A 20,289-nucleotide genomic window follows, 5' to 3' on the forward strand; every position below is an offset into this window, starting at 1 on the left:
ATCAGAGTGAACAGCCAACCTACAGAATGGGAGAAAATTTTTGCAACCTACCCATCTGACAAAGGGCTAATATCCAGAATCTACAAAGAACTTAAACAAATTTACAAGAAAAAAAAATCAAATAACCCCATCAAAAAGTGGGCGAAGGATATGAACAGACACTTCTCAAAAGAAGACATTTATGCAGCCACCAGACACATGAACAAATGCTCATCATCACTGGTCATCAGAGAAATGCAAATCACAACCACAATGAGATATCATCTCACACAAGTTAGAATGGCAATCATAAAAAGTCAGGAAACAACAGGTGCTGGAGAGGATGTAGAGAAATAGGAACACTTTTGCACTGTTGGTGGGAGTGTAAACTAGTTCAACCATTGTGGAAGACAGTGTAGCGATTCCTCAAGGATCTAGAACTAGAAATACCATTTGACCTAGGGATACCATTACTGGGTATATACCCAAAGAATTATAAATCATGCTACTATAAAGACACATGCACACGTATGTTTATTGTGGCACTATTCACAATAGCAAAGACTTGGAACCAACCCAAATGTCCATCAGTGATGGACTGGATTAAGAAAATGTGGCACATATACACCATGGAATACTATGCAGCCCTAAAAAGGATGAGTTCATGTCCTTTGTAGGGACATGGATGAAGCTGGAAACCATCATTTTGAGCAAACTATTGCAAGAACAGAAAACCAAACACCGCATGTTCTCACTCATAGGTGGGAATTGAACAATGAGAACACTTGGACACAGGGCAGGGAACATCACACACCAGGGCCTGTTGTGGGGTGGGGGGTGGGGAGGGATAGCATTAAGAGAAATAACTAATGTAAATGACAAGTTAATGGGTGTAGCACACCAACATGGCACATGTATACATATGTAACCAACCAACACATTGTGCACATGTGCCCTGGAACTTAAAGTATAATTTAAAAAAATAAAATAAATAAAAATAAAAATAAATACCATTGTTATCAAGAAAAAAACACACAAAAGTAATGAATGTCTGTTGTAACAATATAAAGAGTACAGTAAACTATCCAGTACAAAATTAGCTATCTTTCCTTCTTCCTATATGTATACACACATACATTTATATATTTGTATTTACATATATGTATATACATGTATATTTTGTTACAAAAGTTGGGTCATACTAAACATTGTTTTACAACTTATTTTTTCCTTTAAAGAAAATCATGAATATCTTTCCTAATCAACGCATATGAAGACACCTAATTCTTTAAAAGGCTGCATAGTACTATACTTCTAAATTCTTTATGCACATCTCTGCGTGGTTATTCCACTAGCTAATCACACTCAACAAACAAAACCCCAAGTTATAATTTTCATTCTAAACTGTTGCATATCTCTAAACTGTATTATATATTTAGTTAATAGTATCACTATCCTTTGATGTATGTAACTTGAAAATGAGCATTAAAATTTTCCCTAAGTCATGAGCATGAATTTCTCTATTAGAAATGTTCCCTTGGGTGTGCCACAGACGCTTCAGGCTCTGCATTTCCCAAATTGGGTCTTCATTTGGTGGCACCACTCTCAGCCTAGTAGTTCAAGCCAAAAATCTGGAAATCAGCTGTTTCACATTCCATGTCCCTGAGTGTATCCAGTTTTGCCACCTATCTCTTGGTTTTGTTCTATCCACTCTGTGACACCCCTAGCTGTTTGATAGGGTCAGATATTAATTCATCTTTTGATATTTAGCACCTACCAAACTTCTGGCACAAAGTAAGTGCTCCATAAATTTTTTTTTTCTTTTTTTTTTTTTATTATACTTTAAGTTCTAGGGTACATGTGCACATTGTGCAGGTTAGTTACATATGTATACATGTGCCATGCTGGTGCGCTGCACCCACTAACTCGTCATCTAGCATTAGGTATATCTCCCAATGCTATCCCTCCCCCCTCCCCCCACCCCACCACAGTCCCCAGAGTGTGATATTCCCCTTCCTGTGTCCATGTGATCTCATTGTTCAATTCCCACCTATGAGTGAGAATATGCGGTGTTTGGTTTTATTGTGATAAATTGCACAGCATTTTTATTCCTTTGTCTTCCTCAGCAGCTATATCCAACCAGCTAACATCTCTTTACAATGCTACCTCCTCAATAGTAGTATTTCTCTTTTATTTCTTTTCCTCTCCACCACTGTTAGCATAATACAAGAGCTTATTCTCTTTTATTTATGCATCCAGTGGTATTTGTGAAATATGTGTGATTTGGGGGATATAAAGTTGTGGGAAACATGTCACCTGGCCTGGAGAAGCCCATGATGATTCACTGAGGGGACAGATAGACAAACAATCATTCAAGTAACTTCACTGATTTTCCATCCCATGGTTTTCCCCTAATCTTAGGACTCCTTCACAGCACGCTTAGACAAGGGTCTTAACATGTTGCCCAAGCTGGTCTTAAACTCCTGGGCTTGCATGATCCTCCCGCCTCAGCCTTTTGAATAGCTGGGATTACAGGCATGTGCCTCTATGCCTAGCTTCCCTCAGAGAGTAATCTTCATGTGATCACATTTTTTTTTTTTTTTTTGCTCAAAATCCTATAGCTTCCTATTTATTGCAGAAAAAAACTCACCATTTAGACTGGCAGTCAGGACTCTATGCCTTTTATATCCTATTTCTCCGCTTTCCCTTCCTCCTCTACTTCCTGATTTCTTGCCCATTTGTCAAAGATTAATTAAGATAATACCTTTTTCATGAAGTCTTCCAGGATCCTTCTAGGAATAATAAGCCTGTCACTTCTTTTGTGACAACATTAATGTGCATCCTGCTTTTGTTATAATTATTTATGTATGTATCTATCTTCATTATAAATTGGGACAAGAAAAGGATTTGAGAGGGTTTTTTTTTGACATCACAAAATGAGTACTAACAGAGATATAGGGGGCTTTGAATTTGAAGCTCATGTGTTATTCCATGTAAAGGTTATTCTATTTTTATATTATATAGTTCTCAATGACATTTCTGTCTATGAGCTTTATACAATCAAACACCATGATGGTAAAATTTATTTTATTTATAAAGAATATGATTATTTTACAAAATAACTTCTCACCAAATATAACTTAATTCTTTAGAAAGGATTTTATTGCCTAGAGCCACAGTGGAATTACATAGCAACGAGCCTTCATTAATGAAGAGTAATTATTTTACTGTGGTAATCTCAAATGCAAAGTAGTGCTACAATTGGTATATATATTATACTTGCCAAATGAATTAATACTGCTTACCCTTTTGATTAAAAGATCAAAGACTTTTTAATCAGGTCTTTGCACATTTTGCATATAATCTCCTGAATCCAGTAATAAGTGATAACAAACCTATCATTTATGTAAATGTTCAGAAGCTTGACAATAAAGTAATGAAACTTGAATTTGCTCTTATGGAAGAATGAGGAGTCCAAATATGTAATCTTTGCATACACATGCAAGGTAGGATAATTTATTTTTCTCCCCAGTTGAGAGCCCTTTACTGATGTAAAAGTGATTTTATGTTGCTTTTAGATCTTTATTTGATACATTGGGCTGGAGGGCAGATTACTGGAAAGAGCTGTGGTGAAATGCAAGCAGAAACATGGGCAGCCACGGAAGAACTGCATAATAGAGATTAGTTTTCCATGTATATTACAGTTAAAATTAAATAGTATTTATCTGAATATACTATATTTCTTAGTGTTAGAATTAAATTTTCTTATAAGATACATATTTTATTAAAATATTTTATTTCTACATTTTATTGAGACGCAATTTGGCTGTTGTAGGAAAAGGAGCATGGATTTTAGAGTCAGATAATCAAATGTGGCTTTGGGCAAGGTACTTATATTCACTTTACTTCAGCTTCTTCATTTATAAATCTTTAAAGGATTGTTGTGAGGATTAAATCAGATAAAATATGTAAAGCATCTAGCACAACTCTTGGCAGCATTCCTTTTCTCTTTCTATATGTTATATATATATATAAATTTTATTTGAAGGTAAGTAGCCTCTAGCCCTTATATTCTTGAATGCATATATTCTTAGAAATTGGGATGTTCTCTTACACGAACATGGCAGTTATATGCTTCTGTAAATTTGATCTTCATGTAATACTTTAATCTACCATTTGTATTCCAATTTTTTTATTTTGTAAAGACTAGGTCTCACTACGTTGCCTAGTTAGTCTTGAACTCCTGGACTCAAGAGATCCTCCTGCCTTGGCCTCTCAAAGGGCTGGGATTACAGGCATGAGCCACTGCACTCGGTCTGTATTCCAGTTTTGTCAATTGATCCAATAATGTTCTTTATAGCACTTTTTCCTCTCCAGCACAGATTCCAGCCTAAGGTCATAAAATTGTATTTAATTGTCATGTTTCTTTAGTCTCTTGTAATCTATAGCTTTTCTACCATTTTGTCTTTCAAAACATTAATATTTTTGAAGAATATAACTTCCCTCCACCCTTTCATAGAATGTGCCTCATTTACATGTTTTATTTCACAGATGTAAATTTCATGCCTCAAAGATCTTATCTACTCCGATTATAAAAAATATTCAATTTTTTTTCTAGTTCTTGTAATAGTGCATTTTGAAAGATCTTTGATTCATTAACTGATGATCAATAAACAAAATGCGGTATCTTTGTATAAAAGAATATTATTCAGCCACAAAAAGGAATGAGGTACTGATACGTACTGTAACATGGGTGAACACTGAAAACGTTATGCTAAGTGAAAAAAGGCAAACAAAACACACAAGTGATGAGTCTCTGTTATAACAATACAAAGAATACAGTGACTATTCCGTAAAACATTAGCTAGCTTTCCCTCTTCCCACATGTATACACACATACATTTATACATTTGTATAATATGTATACAAAAATATATAAGGCACATATTATGTGATTCCATTTATATGACATATACAGAGTAGGTAAATCCATACAGACAGAAAGCAGATAAGTCATTGCCAGGGGCTGTTGGGAGGGGAGTGACTGCTTATTCGGTATGGAGTTTCTCTTTGGGATGATGAAAAGTTTCTGGTTGTGATGATTATACAACACAGTAAACTGTATACCTTAAAATGCTAAGTATTATGTTATGTCTATTTAATCACACTGTATAAAGAATCCTTGGTCCATTTACAATTAGTTGAAGAAATCAGGTAGGAATGAGCTTTCAGTTGTTTTTTTTTACCAGCTGACTATTCTATCACCCCACTGTCTAAATGATTAACCTGTTTTGACCTACTTATTTGAAATGTCTCTTTTAATAATATTATATGTTCTTATATTCACTTGAATCTTTCTCTAGACATTCTTTTCTAGCCCAGAGTTCCATCTGCCTCTCCCTATTCCAACACCATATTCCAACACCATACCATTTTATGCAAGGTAGGTTTATATCATACTTTGACATTTTGTAGGGCCAGTTTCCCTGATCAATTCTTCACTCCCAGAACTCTTCCTCTTCAGAATTTTCCTGGAAATTCTTCTATGTTTATTATACAAGATAAATATTATAATCTCTTATTCAAGTTCCTTGTTAAGGCTTTTTATTTTTTTTACACAGACTTTATTTTTTAGAGTAGCTTTAGGTTCATAGCAAAACTGAGCAGAAGGTACAGAGATTTCCTATATATCCCCTGCCCTGCACATGTACGGTTTCCTCCATTATCAAGAGCCAGCACCACAGTGACACATTTCTTACAATCAATGAACCTACACTGACACATCATTATCACCAGGTATTTATTGTTTATGTTATGTTAGGGCTCACTTTTGGTGCTGTACATTCTGTGGATTTGGACAAATGTAAAATGACATGTATCCGGCATTGTCTTATCACACGAAACAGTTTAACAGCCCTAAAATTATCTGTGCTCTGCCTATTCATTTCTCCCTGACCTCGAATCCCTGGCAGCTACTGATCTTTTTACTGTCTCCACAGTTTTGCCTTTTCTAGAATATCACATAGTTGGAATCAGACACTGAGGAATCTTTTCAGACTGACTTCTTTCACTTGGTAATATGCATTTAAGTTTCCTCTATTTCCTTTCCTTGATCACTCATTTCTTTTTAATACTGAAATATTCCATGGTCTGGATGTACCACAATTTATTTATCTATTAACCTAATGAAGGACATCTTGGTTGCTTGCAAGCCTTGGCAATTATTAATAAAGCTGTTGTAAATATTTGTGTGTGGGTTTTTGTGTGGACATAAGTTTTCAATTCATTCATTTGAGGACCACGATTGCTGGATTGTATGGTTAGGAGTATGTTTAATTTTGTAAGAAATTGCCAAACTGTCTTCCAAAGTGGCTGTGCCATTTTGTATGAATGAGAGTTCCTGTTACTCCACATTCTTGCCAGCATTGGTGGTGTCAGTGTTTGGGTTCTGGCTATTCTAATAAGATGTGTAATGGGCCATTGAAACCTTGATTTCAAAATTTATCATCTAATTTGAGGTTAGCTCTCCATTATCCAAATCTTCTTTTATGTCTTTTAGTGGAGATTTGTAGTTTTTTCCAGTAAGTCCTGAATATGTTTCTGAAATTTTTTATATATGTATGCTATTATCAATGACACATTTTATTTCACATTTTCAAACTAATTTTGTGTCTGAGAATCACTGATTTTTATATATTTCTTTTGTACTAATTGCCTTATTGAACTCTACTTACAGATGATGTGATATATCCTTCTTCCAAGTTCGTATCTCTTATCTATATGCATTCTTGAGTACTTCTCATTCTACACACTCTTCTTCCATTTGTCAAGAATCCTTCTTTTTAGCTGTGATCCTCAAACCTATTTTGCATTCCAGACTTCTCTCCAGAACTTGAGACTCATGTATTCTTTTATTATTCCTCCAGCAAATATTTGCTGGGCCCTGGCTGTGTACTAGACCCTGTTCTAGATATATCTCTTGGGAGAGAAAAACAACTAACTCCTAACAAATAAAGTTCTACTTAGAATAGCACTGCTCCTTTGTTATTATGATGGTAAGTTTTGAAAGATAAAACATTAGATAACAGAGAACTTACAGTTTTTCAAATAGTTTGTATTTATAAAAATATGCCAAAATGACATTGAACCATTATCTTGCAATGCGTTTTGATGTCCCTATCACTCTTTTGATCTTAGAAACGTATTTTTACATGTTTCAATTTTACATCATGGTAAGGAACTTCAAAATGTAAGGTTGTCTTACCAAAAGAATATATGGTGTTAACTGTCATGAAGATTTAAACCAGTGATCCCAAATAAATGTGTTAAATCCTTTACTTGCATGGTTAACCAAGCAGATTTTAAGTTGAAGATTAAAATTTATTTTTTACATTTTTCCATTGGCTTGCTTTGATGAGTCATCTAAAGTCAGATTAGCTCATCTTCATACCTCTGTCAGAATATTATAGAACTAGTATAATTACTGAGAAAAAAAAGTGTGCAGGAAGCTGATTATAAGCTACTATGGTTATTCTGTAAGAAAAGAAAGTCAGAAAACTAAGATTTAGGATCCAGATCTATAGGGAATAGTTAGGTGATTTGGAAGAAGTTATAGCTCTTTTCTTTAGCTATAAGATGAGATTAAGTATATAGTAAGTACTTGCTCCTCTACTGCAGAGGAAGGTTAAAAGAATAAATAAAATAATACATGAAGACCTTATGATCTCCTTGTTATTGATGAATCCTAGGAAAGGTCACCTAGTTAAGCCTTCTTTTCAGTGCAAAGAATCCCATCTGTTGTCTCCCTAACAAGTAGATAGATAGCAGGGCTCTCCTTGTGTATTACAGAAATCAAAGGTTATAAAGTCTTCTATCTAAAAAAAGGATGGTTATTAATATAAATCACTTTAACATATCCTCTAGAGGCTAGGGCTAAAATGAGGAAAATCATCTTGAGTATCAGTATTTCTTTATAAAAAATATTCTAAGGGCGCATGGAATTATCTCATGTAAGACTGTCTGGAGACAATGCCAAGTGATATGGAAAATGTAAGTAACATAATAGATGTAAACCTGGTTCTATCCACTGTACACTTAGAAGGGTTTCATTTCCACAAAAAGAAAGAGCTTTGATGTATTAATATTTAAAATTTGGGATAATTATGGGTTATGTTTAACAAATGTAACATTTTCTACTCCAGTGTAACTCATTAAATATAAAATGTAGTAAGATTCTGAAAGCAAAATATTTGCTATCAGTGTAAGTAAAATGTGCTGAAGTTTTTGCTTTGTATTCCCAAAGTGAAAAAACAAAACAAAGCCACATTTAAAGTAGTCACAAAAAAAGTGCTTAAAGTAACAAAAACATTAATAATGGCCCAGCTAATCTATTATCTATCAACCACTTCTATCAGTTAAATGAGAGCACGGAACATATACTATTTTCATTATAAAAACAATTGAATAAAAACTGGAAAGCATGACATACATAGGTAAAGCTGTAGAAAAACTTCCTTTTTCTGTTTTCAACATCACTATCATCATTCCTCCTACGATAAATAAGCAGCACATTTAACTGTAATGAATTTTCATTGTCTGTCTCCCACAACTAAATTGGCAAACAAAAGACTCACATACAATTCTCTTATTTTCCTTCCTCTACAAAAAATTTCAAATACAATCAGTTATTACCAAATACATCCTAAAATACTGTTTTCTTAAAATTATGCACATTTTCTTTATAGTATTTACTAAAAACAATTCTGTGTTTTTAGGAAAAAAGTAATGAAGCTTTATTGCTTCTTAAAATGGTTTCAGAGAAACTCTTGAATGTTCCTTTACTATCTTTTTCTTTTCAAATGAAGTACATCCTGTCTGAAGCAGAATTACTAACAAACTAAAAGCAAGCACTTCAGGGTAACTGGATTAAAAAATATATTACATTTTAAAAAGTAGCTCTGAACATACCAGAGGAAAGTCTTTGGTGTAATAATAGAAAAAAAACCCTTTGAGGGCTGTGGTAAGCCACAGTCGTTTTTAAATACCTGTTAAACAGAAAGAGTGGCTCATACTAGTGGTCAGCGTGTGAGAAATTCAAAATGCTCAGGGTTTCAAGAATCAAATCTCAGAATTGGCGATCACAGGTATTTTTCTCTACATGGTAACTCAATTTATAGAATATTACAGTTTGTGCTAAAAGGAATGTACTTTCTGATAACTTTAACAAAATTATGAATCTATGCTTTATACTTTGGCAGAAGCAATAGGGAACTTACATTGAACAAGGTTTGCGTCTCTTGGTGTTATTTCCCTAAAAGTGAGACGACACAGGGACCATTATTATCAAGGAGGGGACAGAGTAGAACCCTGACACCATATGTCGCCCACACCCGAAAACATGGATAACAGTGATGCTTTACCTTTCTCTTCTCCTTCATTCCCCACATCCAGATATTCACCGCTCTGCAAATGATGCCTATTCAGTATCTCTTGAGTGTATCCACTTTTCTTTCTCCCTGTCTCTCTAACATAAATTAGGCCACCATTGCATCTCACCTGAAATTTTGTAATAGCCTCCTGACCGCAGCCACTCTGGCCTCATCCAGTTCATTCTCCTTGTGGCAAAGTGATTTTTCTAAACTGCAAATCTCCCTCATGTAAAACTCTTCAATAATTTGCAGCTGCTGTCATGAAGTCCATTCTTCCTTATGTGGCTTATAAGGCCCTCCAAGATCTCAACCTCCCTCAACAAATACCACACACCAGACTCACTCGTTTACCCTCTTATTTACTGAAACTTCAATTCCTTGAATAAGTGATGTTCTTACCTCTGAGTTTTTGCACATTTCCCTCTTGCCTCCCCAGCGTCATCTCAGCATCTCCTCACTGGAGCATCACTCCACATAGGTCCTGAATGCATTAGATGTGTTCCGTCTTGGGGCTAATTGTATCTTCTCTAACTCAAATGCGCCCCCCCAACCCCAGTTATGAAGTATAGCTATACTTCATTACTTTGACTCCAACATGTTACTCTCAACAGCTGTATGGAAAAACCTAAATGAGGAAGAACATACACTTTAATCCTATCCTGAAAACAGATTAAAAATTTTGAACTTTTTTTTATTATACTTTAAGTTTTAGGGTACATGTGCACAACGTGCAGGTTTGTTACATATGTATACATGTGCCATGCTGGTGTGCTGCACCCATTAACTCGTCATTTACTTTAAGTATATCTCCTAATGCTATCCCTCCCCCCTCCCCCCACCCCACAACAGGCCCCGGTGTGTGATGTTTCCCTTCTTGTGTCCATGTGTTCTCTTTGTTCAATTCCCACCTATGAGTGAGAACATGCGGAGTTTGGTATTTGGTTTTTTGTCCTTGCAATAGTTTGCTCAGAATGATGGTTTCCAGCTTCATCCATGTCCCAACAAAGGGCATGAACTCATCCTTTTTTACGGCTGCATAGTATTCCATGGTGTATATGTGCCACATTTTCTTAATCCAGTCTATCATTGATGGACATTTGGGTTGGTTCCAAGTCTTTACTATTGTGAATAGTGCCACAATAAACATACGTGTGCATGTGTCTTTATAGTAGCATGTTTTATAATCCTTTGGATATATACCCAGTAATGGGATTGCTGGGTCAAATGGTACTTCTAGTTCTAGATCCCTGAGGAATCGCCACACTGACTTCCACAATGGTTGAACTAGTTTACAGTCCCACCAACAGTGTAAAAGTGTTCCTATTTCTCCACATCCTCTCCAGCACCTGTTGTTTCCTGACTTTTTAATGATCACCATTCTAACTGGTGTGAGATGGTATCTCATTGTGGTTGTGATTTGCAAAAAATTTGAACTTCTAAGAAACTGTAGTGGAGAACTAATAAACAGACTACTAGAAACGAGACAATAGAGAGACTCTTTTTTCAGTAGCATTGAGAAAACTAAGGGGCTGAGCCAGAACGCAGACAGGTTTTTCAGGTAGTGCTAATAGTTGCAAAACAATTCCAAATAATGAATTGCTTATACTACACTATAATAACTTGCTCATGTTCACTGAGCTGGGGATGTTCCCAGACCAGTGGAAGGAGCAGAGGTGTTCTTAACCAACTGGGAAGTCTGCACAGTAATAGCCCCCAATGCTTAGCTTCTACTCTGTCATGTTCCCCTGAGTTATCTCCAGACCTGTATTTCTAGTCATGGGTTGCATGTTGCATAGTACTTCTTGGGTGGGGGGGTCCCACAAGCACCTCAAAAACAACCTGTGTAGAACAGAATTTGTCATCTTTGCCACAAGACCTTTTCCTATTTTCCCTCTCCTAGTTATGGCACCACCATCCACAAACAACCAAGCAAGAAACCGAGATATTCATTATACCTTCCATCTTACCATCCGCATCCAACCTTTTACCCTCTCCTCTTGACGTGACTTTTAAAATTTCTCAAATCCATTTACTTCTCTTCATCCTCACTGCCTCTACTTTTACGTGAAAGCTACACTTGTCTCTGAGCAATAACAGGTCCTAACTGTAACAGGTCCTAACAATAACAGGTCCTAACTGGTTTCCCTTCAATCTTACCTCACCCTCATTCATTCGCCATACTGCAGCCAGGGTGATATTTCCAAAGTTCAATTACGTTACTACTCCTGTTTAAGACCTACAGTGATTGCCTATTACCCTCAGGATAAAGCAGTTGGTGAATATTTGCAGAGTGAATGAACAACATTTATCTTTTCAAATCATCAGAATAACTTTAAGGTTGGACATTATTCCATTTTTCAGGTAAGGGCACTAAGGCTAAAAGAGCTTTAAGAACTTACCCCACAGTTAAATGGCCAGGTTTGTCTGACTTCTGAAGCTGTACCCTTTCTATGTCACACTGCCTGTCTTTTCTATTCAAAGATGGCCTTTTCATGCAGACGGTGAAGAAAGACTGCTGATTGCATAGTGGATTTCTGTCAGTCATGCAGAAGTAAATAATCTCTGATTCCAATAATGTTGTAGCAATTGCTTTACAAAATTATCTTGCACTGCAGCAAAACTGTAATTAACCAGAATCTTCAATTAAACAGAGTTTGTTTTAAGAGCATTCGGAGGAAAGACATTGCAAAGTTTAAGGCAAAATAGCCATATTACCACCAAACACAAGCTGATGGGATTTTTTTTTTTTTGAGACAAGGTCTCACTCTGTTGCCCAGGCTGGAGCACAATGGTACAAACACAGCTCACTGCAGCCTTGACTTCCCAGGCTCAAGCAAACCTCCTGTCTCAGTCTCCTGAGTAGCTGGAACTACAGGCATGTACCACCACACCTGGCTACTTTTTAAATTTTTTGTAGAGATGGGGTCTCACCATGTTGCCCAGGCTGGTCTCAAACTCCTGGCCTCAAGCCATCTTCCTGACTCAGCCTCGCAAAAATGCTGGGATTACAGGCATGACCCACCATACCCAGCCCACAAAGGATTTTTAAGAGATGTTTCCAAGGTATAACTTTGAATTTTTACACATTGAGCTCCATGGTTTATATTGTCTTCTATGGCATGTATAATAATATTAAATAGAGCTTGTATCAGAATAGTGCCTGGCACATAGTAGGTGCTCAGTAAATATGTGAATAAATGAATAAATTAAGGAATGAGAAAAGCAAAAGCCTCAGCAATTTAAGATCCAGGATAATTTTCTTATTTATGGTTGTCATATTCTTCCTATGAAGGGAAGATAGTAAATGAATATATTTTAGCTAGGTTTTTCACTATGTAGGTCAAAACAACAAAAGAAGAGTGTTCTTATCCTTGCTAAACTAGACAATTCATTCAATCAAAACAACTTATTTCCCAAATATACTGGTAAAATATGCATATTAGCCTAGTTTTTAAAGTTTCTATTGAAGTTTAACATATACTTGTATTTATATTTAACTATAGATTTGGCCACATTGAGAAAGAAGATCGACAAAGTTGGTTGAAATGGAAGTTTTGAGCTTATTTGTAAATTATAAATATTAGAATTATCCCAGTCTACATTAAGATTTCAGATTCCCGGCCCAGCGCGGTGGCTCACGTCTGTAATCCCAGTACTTTGGGAGGCCGAGGCGGGCAGATCACGAGGTCAGGAGATCGAGACCATCCTGGCCAACCAACATGGTGAAACCCCGTCTCTACTAAAAATACAAAAATTTAGCTGGGTGTAGTGGCACACACCTGTAGTCCCAGCTACTCGGGAGGCTGAGGCAAGAGAATCGCTTGAACCCAGGAGGCAGAGGTTGCAGTGAGCTGAGATTGTACCACTGCACTCCAGCCCAGGTAACAGAGCGAGACTCTGTCTCAACAACAACAACAAAAAGATTTCAGATTCCCTCTGGGTCATCTTTTTCTTAACCCTCTTCACAGTAATATACTGTGGAGTTACCTAACGTATCATAATTTTAATCAAGTTTAATTTATTATCATATTTGTTATATCAAAACAAAAGTAGAATACTCATTTTTGGAGTGAAATGTACATTTTTACTCAGGGAAAAGGTACCACTGGAATTGTATAGATCGCATCCTATACTTCTAGGTCTTTATTTTCATAATAAAAATTACATTTCTAATATTGTTTTCAATATTTTAATAAATAAAGCTCTAATATGAAGAATTTAAAGATGCACAACTGAAGGAAATTAAATCTTACCTCTCCTTCAAAAAAATCAAATCATTATTTGTATTACTGTTTATAATGTCTGATCTGCTTTTGGGCCATGCTGTAAACAGGGCCAGAAAATGGGGGGGGGCGGGGATGGAAATCAAGCTTGAGTTTCCATTGCAATGAAATTATGATTTGGTTATGATACACTGACAATTTGTGTCATCTGTTTTTTTTTCCTCTTTCACCCAGGCTGGAGTGCAATGGCATGGTCTTAGCTCACTGCAACCACCGCCTCCCAGGTTCAAGCGATTCTCCTGCCTCAGCCTCCAGAGTAGCTGGGACTACAGGCGCGTGCCACCACACCTGGCTAATTTTTGTATTTTTAGTAGAGATGAGGTTTCACTATGCTGGCCAGGCTTGTCTCGAACTCCTGACCTCGTGATCCGCATGCCTCAGCCTCACAAAGTGCTGGGATTACAGGTGTGAGCCACTGTGCCCAGTCCAGTTTGTATCATGTTTAGTTACATCCTCACTGTTTATGAATGTAGGTCTAATATCCCACTGCTTCTAAAGGAATCCGTATGGGAAATTTATATTTATTAGCAATCTCAAGGGTTTCTGATGGAAATGAATCGCATCCTGAGACATGGATGAGATTATTTTAGTACTAGAAGTTTTGATACATTTAATACAAAGTTGTTTTCTACCATGGCATAATATTGAAAAATTTGAAAAATCCTGGGGTGGGTTAACAATTATGTTAATATTAAAGATTATAGATTTTTCAGAACCCCTTTTTGACAAGACTTGGGCTTCTGGAGACTGCGATTACAACTGTTTGCATATCTATCTGGCTGGGGAAGCACAAAGTCACACTATTTTTTGTTTGGGGAACCTTCTCTGATTCTTGAATCACATAAAGAATAGCCACAGTAAGCCTGGTGTAGAAACACATCTTCACAACAGGTTTTAGAAGAGGAGGAAGTGCTGCATGCATTGTGCATCTATGCAAATTCACATGACTCTGTGTGGGGGCACTTTATGCAGGAGAATCCATCTAGCGTTGCTTTCCTCCCTGAGTCTCTGAGGGTTGGGCTTCCTTCCTGCTGTAAAGTGGGGTGGGAATCTCTCTGAAACCACTCTATTTCCCTGCCTTGTTTTTTAACTCCCTGTGAGCTATGCACTAGATCAAGCTCATTCTCTTTGTTGACACGCTCAGCTTTGCCTTCTCATGCATCTGACTTCAATGTTTTTCATAGTCTTCAAATGAACTTTGTATGAAACAGAGCAGCTGTCTGTAACAGATAACAGCAAAGCACCCAGGTCATAGACCAGTGTGGTCAGCCGCCCCTTCCTAAGCTGCAGTCTGCTTCTTTGAGGATTACCTGAATTCTCAACTGCCAGAGTTCAAGAAAATCTGATCATGGTTTGATTCCAGGAGAGAGAGAAAAAAATCAGTTTAAAATTCAGAGTATTAATGTAATCATTTATGAAAAAAAGAAACCTTTAAAAGTCTGTTTCAGAGAGTTTAAAGAGGGAAAGAAGCAGGAAGGAAATCCCCTCAACAGTTTTATTTAGAAAAAATAAAATTATGTCTATGCCACCTCCATGCTGACAAAAATAATGCAGAAGAAGGACTTGGTGAACACATTTTTAATTAGATCACTGATGTTCACAGGATCAGGTACAAGAGCACTGGACATAGTCTACTTGATTTATACTCATTACTGCATACTTAAAAGAATTTCACACACTGTGCTGCTCCTTCTCAGGCAGCTTAGTGGTTATTGTGGATCATGAACCACACCTTTTTCATCAGATAAAACTAAAATGTGATGATGAGGGGAGAAAAAGCCCTATGTTCATTAGCCAGTGCTTATAAAAATATACAAGACATCAGATATCTGAGATGAAAATCTATTTATTAGACTTTTCATTAAGTTTGTGGCAACACTTTAAACAGTAATATTGCTTATCAAGTCACCTTTTATTGGGCTAAAACCTCCTGCAGCATCTAAGCTGAAAGAAGTCTTCACTGATTCATGCTTACATTTGAGTTTTTAAAACAGCACCTCTTCAGGTAAATTACTTTGACAGTTATTTTGCATACACCAATAAAACTTCACTTGTGCAGTGGACAATCTACATTAACATATTTGATGGTCCTCCAAATTCCCAAAGTCCTTTTTCTTTTCTTTAAAAAAACTTTTTTTATTTCCATAGTTTTTGGGGAACGGGTGGTGTTTGGTTGCATGGAAAAGTTCTTTAGTGGTGATTTCTGAGATTTTAGTACACCTATCACTTGAGCAGTGTACACTGTACCCAATGTGTATTCTTTTATCCCTCATCCCCTCCCACCCTTCCCCCTCAGTCCCCAAAGTCCATTATATCATTCTTACATCTTTGTATCCTCATAGCTTAGCTCCCACTTATAATTGAGAACATATGATGTTTGGTGTTTGGTTTTCCAATCGTGAGTTACTTCACTTAGAATGATGATCTCCAATTCCATCCAGGTTGCTGCAAATGCCATTATTTCATTCCTTTTTATGGCTGAGTAGCATTCCATGGTGTGTGTGTGTGTGTGTGTGTGTGTGTGTGTGTGTGTTTGTGTGTGTGTGTCACATTTTCTTTATCCACTCATTTGATGGGCTTTTAGACTGATTTCATGTATTTGCAATTGTGAATTTTGCTGCTATAAACCAAAGTCCTTTTTCTAACCCAACTGAAGCCCTTAAATTCCTAGTATATAGAAATTTGGAAGCTACCACTGTCATCAGATCTTTTGATTCTAGCCTTAAAAAGCTCTAGAATACCCTCTTTTTTATCCTCACCACTAATGACACATGACAAGCCTTTGAAGTCACTTCTAGGAAAGCTTCTAACTCATCTGATTGCCTCCTGTCTACTCTTTACATTGATGATGGAATCGTCCTTTTAAAAGTGGCACTGATAGTTTCACTCTTCTTCTTAAGAACCTTCAGAAGAGTGAAAACAAAATAGGTTACAAGAGTGACATGATATTTAATCACTTTAGCCTCTGAGGCACCTGGGTGGGAGAAAGCAGCTAGAACCCCAGTTAATTGCCTCCGACCTGAAGCAGCTTCTGTCGGTAACCCAGCATATTATACAAATATTACTATTTTTATTTAGGTCACTACATAAAAGCTCCAAAAGCACTGCTGTAAAGCAACGGTTCTTAGCTGAGACCTGAGAACTCCCAGGAGAGCAATGTATGGGCGTTAAGATATTTGAGATACTCCATAGGTTTCTGGGGAGTGGATCCATAGGAATTATCTATTCTTGAGGGGACTATACCTGTTAAAAAGTTAAAAACAGATCCACAGTACACGTTGGTTTTAAGCGGTTCTATACTATCTGCATAACCTCAGCAATAACCATTTTTTTCCCCATGCATCTTGCATTCCAGTCACTGCAGGCTACTTGGCATTCTTTTCAACTTACAGAGGTTCTTCAGCCCTTATCCTTCTGCAGCGTTATCTCCGTAGCGTCCTATTTCTTACCTTAAGCTTCAGCAGTGATGAATCGTTGCCAGTTCTCTGAAATCATTTTCAAGGGTCAATGCCCTGTCATATGCTATCATCAGCTTGGAATGCTCTTACAATCTGCCTGGTGAACTCCTCCATATCGGTCAGCACCCACCTTAAACTCCGCTTCTCTATAAAACCTCCTCTTACTCCTCCCAGAAGAATTCATTGCTCTTGTTTTCATGTTGCCACTTCATTCAACATTAATTTCATTAATTTCTACTCATTCTAATGAGCTTAATATGTTTCTCCCCACTAGACTTTATGCTGCTTGAAAGTAAGATCTCTAATTTATTCATCTTTATATGCCTAGCATATTGTTTTTAGTTGACACTTAATATACATTTGTTAGATGGTTGCTCGTCTATCCCCACTTCCATATGTGAAACTTGGACTTTCTTTGAAGATCTGGGTAAAATGCCACTTCTGAAAAACCTCTTGACTCCCCCAGGTCAGGGGCTACTCTCTCCTCTATAACACAGTAGTTCACACACAAGTCTACTGCATCAGTTATACCCAGTTTCTTACCTTGCTCAGGCGTAGAACTGAGGGACTTCAGTTTGCAGGCTCAGCCCTGCTCAGTGCCTTGGCTTAATCCTGACAAAGGAAGCAATTGCAGCAGTGATTTCAGACCCACCAGTGAGTGTCTTACCATACCCCCCTCAACACCACCACCACCACCAATAACAACTCCTTCATTTTTTCAGAGCTCTCCTATCTTTACCTGCCAGCCTTCTCTCTCTAGAAACTGAAACTGTATAGCCCTTATCTGGGAGGCCTATTCCATATGAGAGGATTTTGCAGGAATCATTACATTCTATCTTTCTGCTCTTAGTATTTCTACCCCACCTTAGAAATCAGTGCTCAACCAGATATTGCCTAATATTGCAGACTGAACTGCTTACCACTATGTTAAGGAAGAATGACCTTACAGCCAGGGTAGTTTTTCTGACCAAGGTCAGCTATGTCTGTTTTCTGCTCTGTTCTTCCCCCAAAGTGCCTGGAGCTAATTGTACAGTCACAGTGTTTAACAATCCATAATGCTTAACACAATGATTTATCATAGTAGATACTTAACATGAGCGAATGGACAAATGAAAATCCAGTTATGTATATATAGAACTGGATGTTTAAAATTATATATTCATATATATACACATATGTGTATATATATGAAGTATATATGTATTTTTATATAAGCGTATATATGTATTTATATATATAAGCATATATATGAACTATATATATGAAATACACACACACACACACACACACACACACACACACATATATATATATATATGAAGTAATGAGAACTGTGGTGAAAACCTTGTTTACAGGAGACAGCTATTCCTTGGCCCTAGTCATTTCTCGACACATGAGAACATGGGCCCAGGAATACCAGATTTTCTACCTTTTCAAGAAAAACTGAACACTCAGATTTTTCTGTGAATTTTTTGATATTTTGGCTGGAAGAAGCATGGTTCATGTCCAGTGCACCTGTACAGGATAAAGCAGATTAACATGCGGTTAAGTCAGATATTAACAAGGGTATAACATATAGGCCAGTTCTCCCTCTGTGATTTTTAGTGCTAGCTGAGTGTCAGTATTTCTGGAAAGAAGGGACAGCAGCAAAAATTCCATGCACAGGAGTTATCATGATAGAAACCGGCTTGATTCTTTTGATACTCTGCCACTGTTCTCTTCAGCCGATGATATGCCAATGTAAGAAGATCCAGGAAGTGAGCCACTGGTGGCATTAGTAATCTGAGACAGATAATTTGAGTTATGTTGATTGAAGAATAACTGTGATCTAGTAAGGAGATTAGTATGATTCCTTTATTATCTCCTGCCAATGGCTTATTAGAAGAAGAGCCTGGCACAATATGGGCTCAATAAATACTTGTTGAATGCATGAATGAATGAATGAACAAATATATTGTTCTGTATTTTTGGAAATTTTTGGAAAAGAATTCAGTATTTTTTTCTGTGCAAATTTTCCCTAATCAAAAGAGCCTTACCAGGTATAGTGAAGACAGTATGCTAAGTGAAATAAATCAAACACAGAAGGACAAATATTGTATGATTTCACTTACATAAAGTACCTAGAATAACCACATTTATAGAAACAAAAAATAGAATGGCAATTACCAGGGGGTGGGAGTGTCGGTAACGGGGAGTTGTTTAATGGGTAGAGTTTCAGTTTGGGAAGACGAGAACTGTCTAGTGATGGATAGTGGTGATGCATGAACACAAATGTGACATACTTAATCCTACTGAATTTTACACTTAAAAGTGGTTAAAATGATGGTCTTGGGAAAGGCTCCTGTGTTGTTGAACCTGCTCAGTTGTGGGTGCAGCCTTGTACCAGGCAGCCCAACCCTGACCTAAAGTAAATTCCCAGGAAAAGTCTTTCCTAGGTTGTGAATTTGCAGTAATAGGTGTGTGCATCCTAGCAGCAGTTTGATGATCATGTATGAAACTGCAAACAGGACAAAAACAAACAAACAAACAATAAATAAAATGGTTAAAATGGTAAATTGTATGTAATGTATATTTTGCCATAATAAAGAAGTGAATTATTCATAATTGTGATCTGCATTTCTGGTTTATATGGGGTTTTTGGTCAGGCTCCTTTTGCCTTTACCCTACTTCCACCCAAATTAATTTGTATATCCCCTGTATATTTGTACACACATAAAAATGGCGTGTGTGTGTGTGTGTATGTATGTGTGTGTGTGTGTGTGTGTAGGCACTTAGATAATCCAGAGACTGAAATAGGTAGGAAAAGTATACATTAATCTCTTTGCAATTTCACAACTTGGTCTTTAGAGAGTCTTATTTCTCCAAATATGCTTCGTTCTAGTTCATTATTTTTTTTTTATTTTTATTTTTTGCTTTTTTTTGTTTGTTTTTTGAGACAGAGTCTTGCTCTGTTGCCCAGGCTGGAGTGCAGTGGCTCTATCTCTGCTCACTGCAGCCTCTGCCTACTGGGTTCAAGCGATTCTCATGCTTCAGCCTCCCAAGTAGCTGCGATTACAGGCATGTACCATCACATCTGGCTACTTTTTGTGTTTTTAGTAGAGACAGGGTTTCACCATGTTGCCCAGGCTGGTCTCGAACTCC

At 36.9% G+C, this 20,289-nt stretch overlaps 1 non-coding gene across 1 annotated transcript, besides 3 other annotated features; it reads left to right on the forward strand.

Annotated features, from left to right (window-relative positions):
- Window positions 9,049–9,098: a silencer, noted in NCBI's record as "silent region_1124". NCBI's record gives its function as "represses an Ori minimal core promoter by ATAC-STARR-seq in GM12878 lymphoblastoid cells {active_cell/tissue: GM12878}" and the evidence as "EXISTENCE:reporter gene assay evidence [ECO:0000049][PMID:35858748]".
- Window positions 13,894–13,993: an enhancer, noted in NCBI's record as "active region_1392". NCBI's record gives its function as "activates an Ori minimal core promoter by ATAC-STARR-seq in GM12878 lymphoblastoid cells {active_cell/tissue: GM12878}" and the evidence as "EXISTENCE:reporter gene assay evidence [ECO:0000049][PMID:35858748]".
- Window positions 14,412–14,461: an enhancer, noted in NCBI's record as "active region_1393". NCBI's record gives its function as "activates an Ori minimal core promoter by ATAC-STARR-seq in GM12878 lymphoblastoid cells {active_cell/tissue: GM12878}" and the evidence as "EXISTENCE:reporter gene assay evidence [ECO:0000049][PMID:35858748]".
- On the forward strand, window positions 19,471–19,657 carry LOC124900440 (small Cajal body-specific RNA 16). Its single transcript, XR_007067397.1, has one exon.
- The last annotated feature ends 632 nt before the right edge of the window (window positions 19,658–20,289 follow it).

Source organism: Homo sapiens, chromosome 1 (genome assembly GCF_000001405.40).
Source record: "Homo sapiens chromosome 1, GRCh38.p14 Primary Assembly".
Classification (NCBI taxonomy): domain Eukaryota; kingdom Metazoa; phylum Chordata; class Mammalia; order Primates; family Hominidae; genus Homo; species Homo sapiens.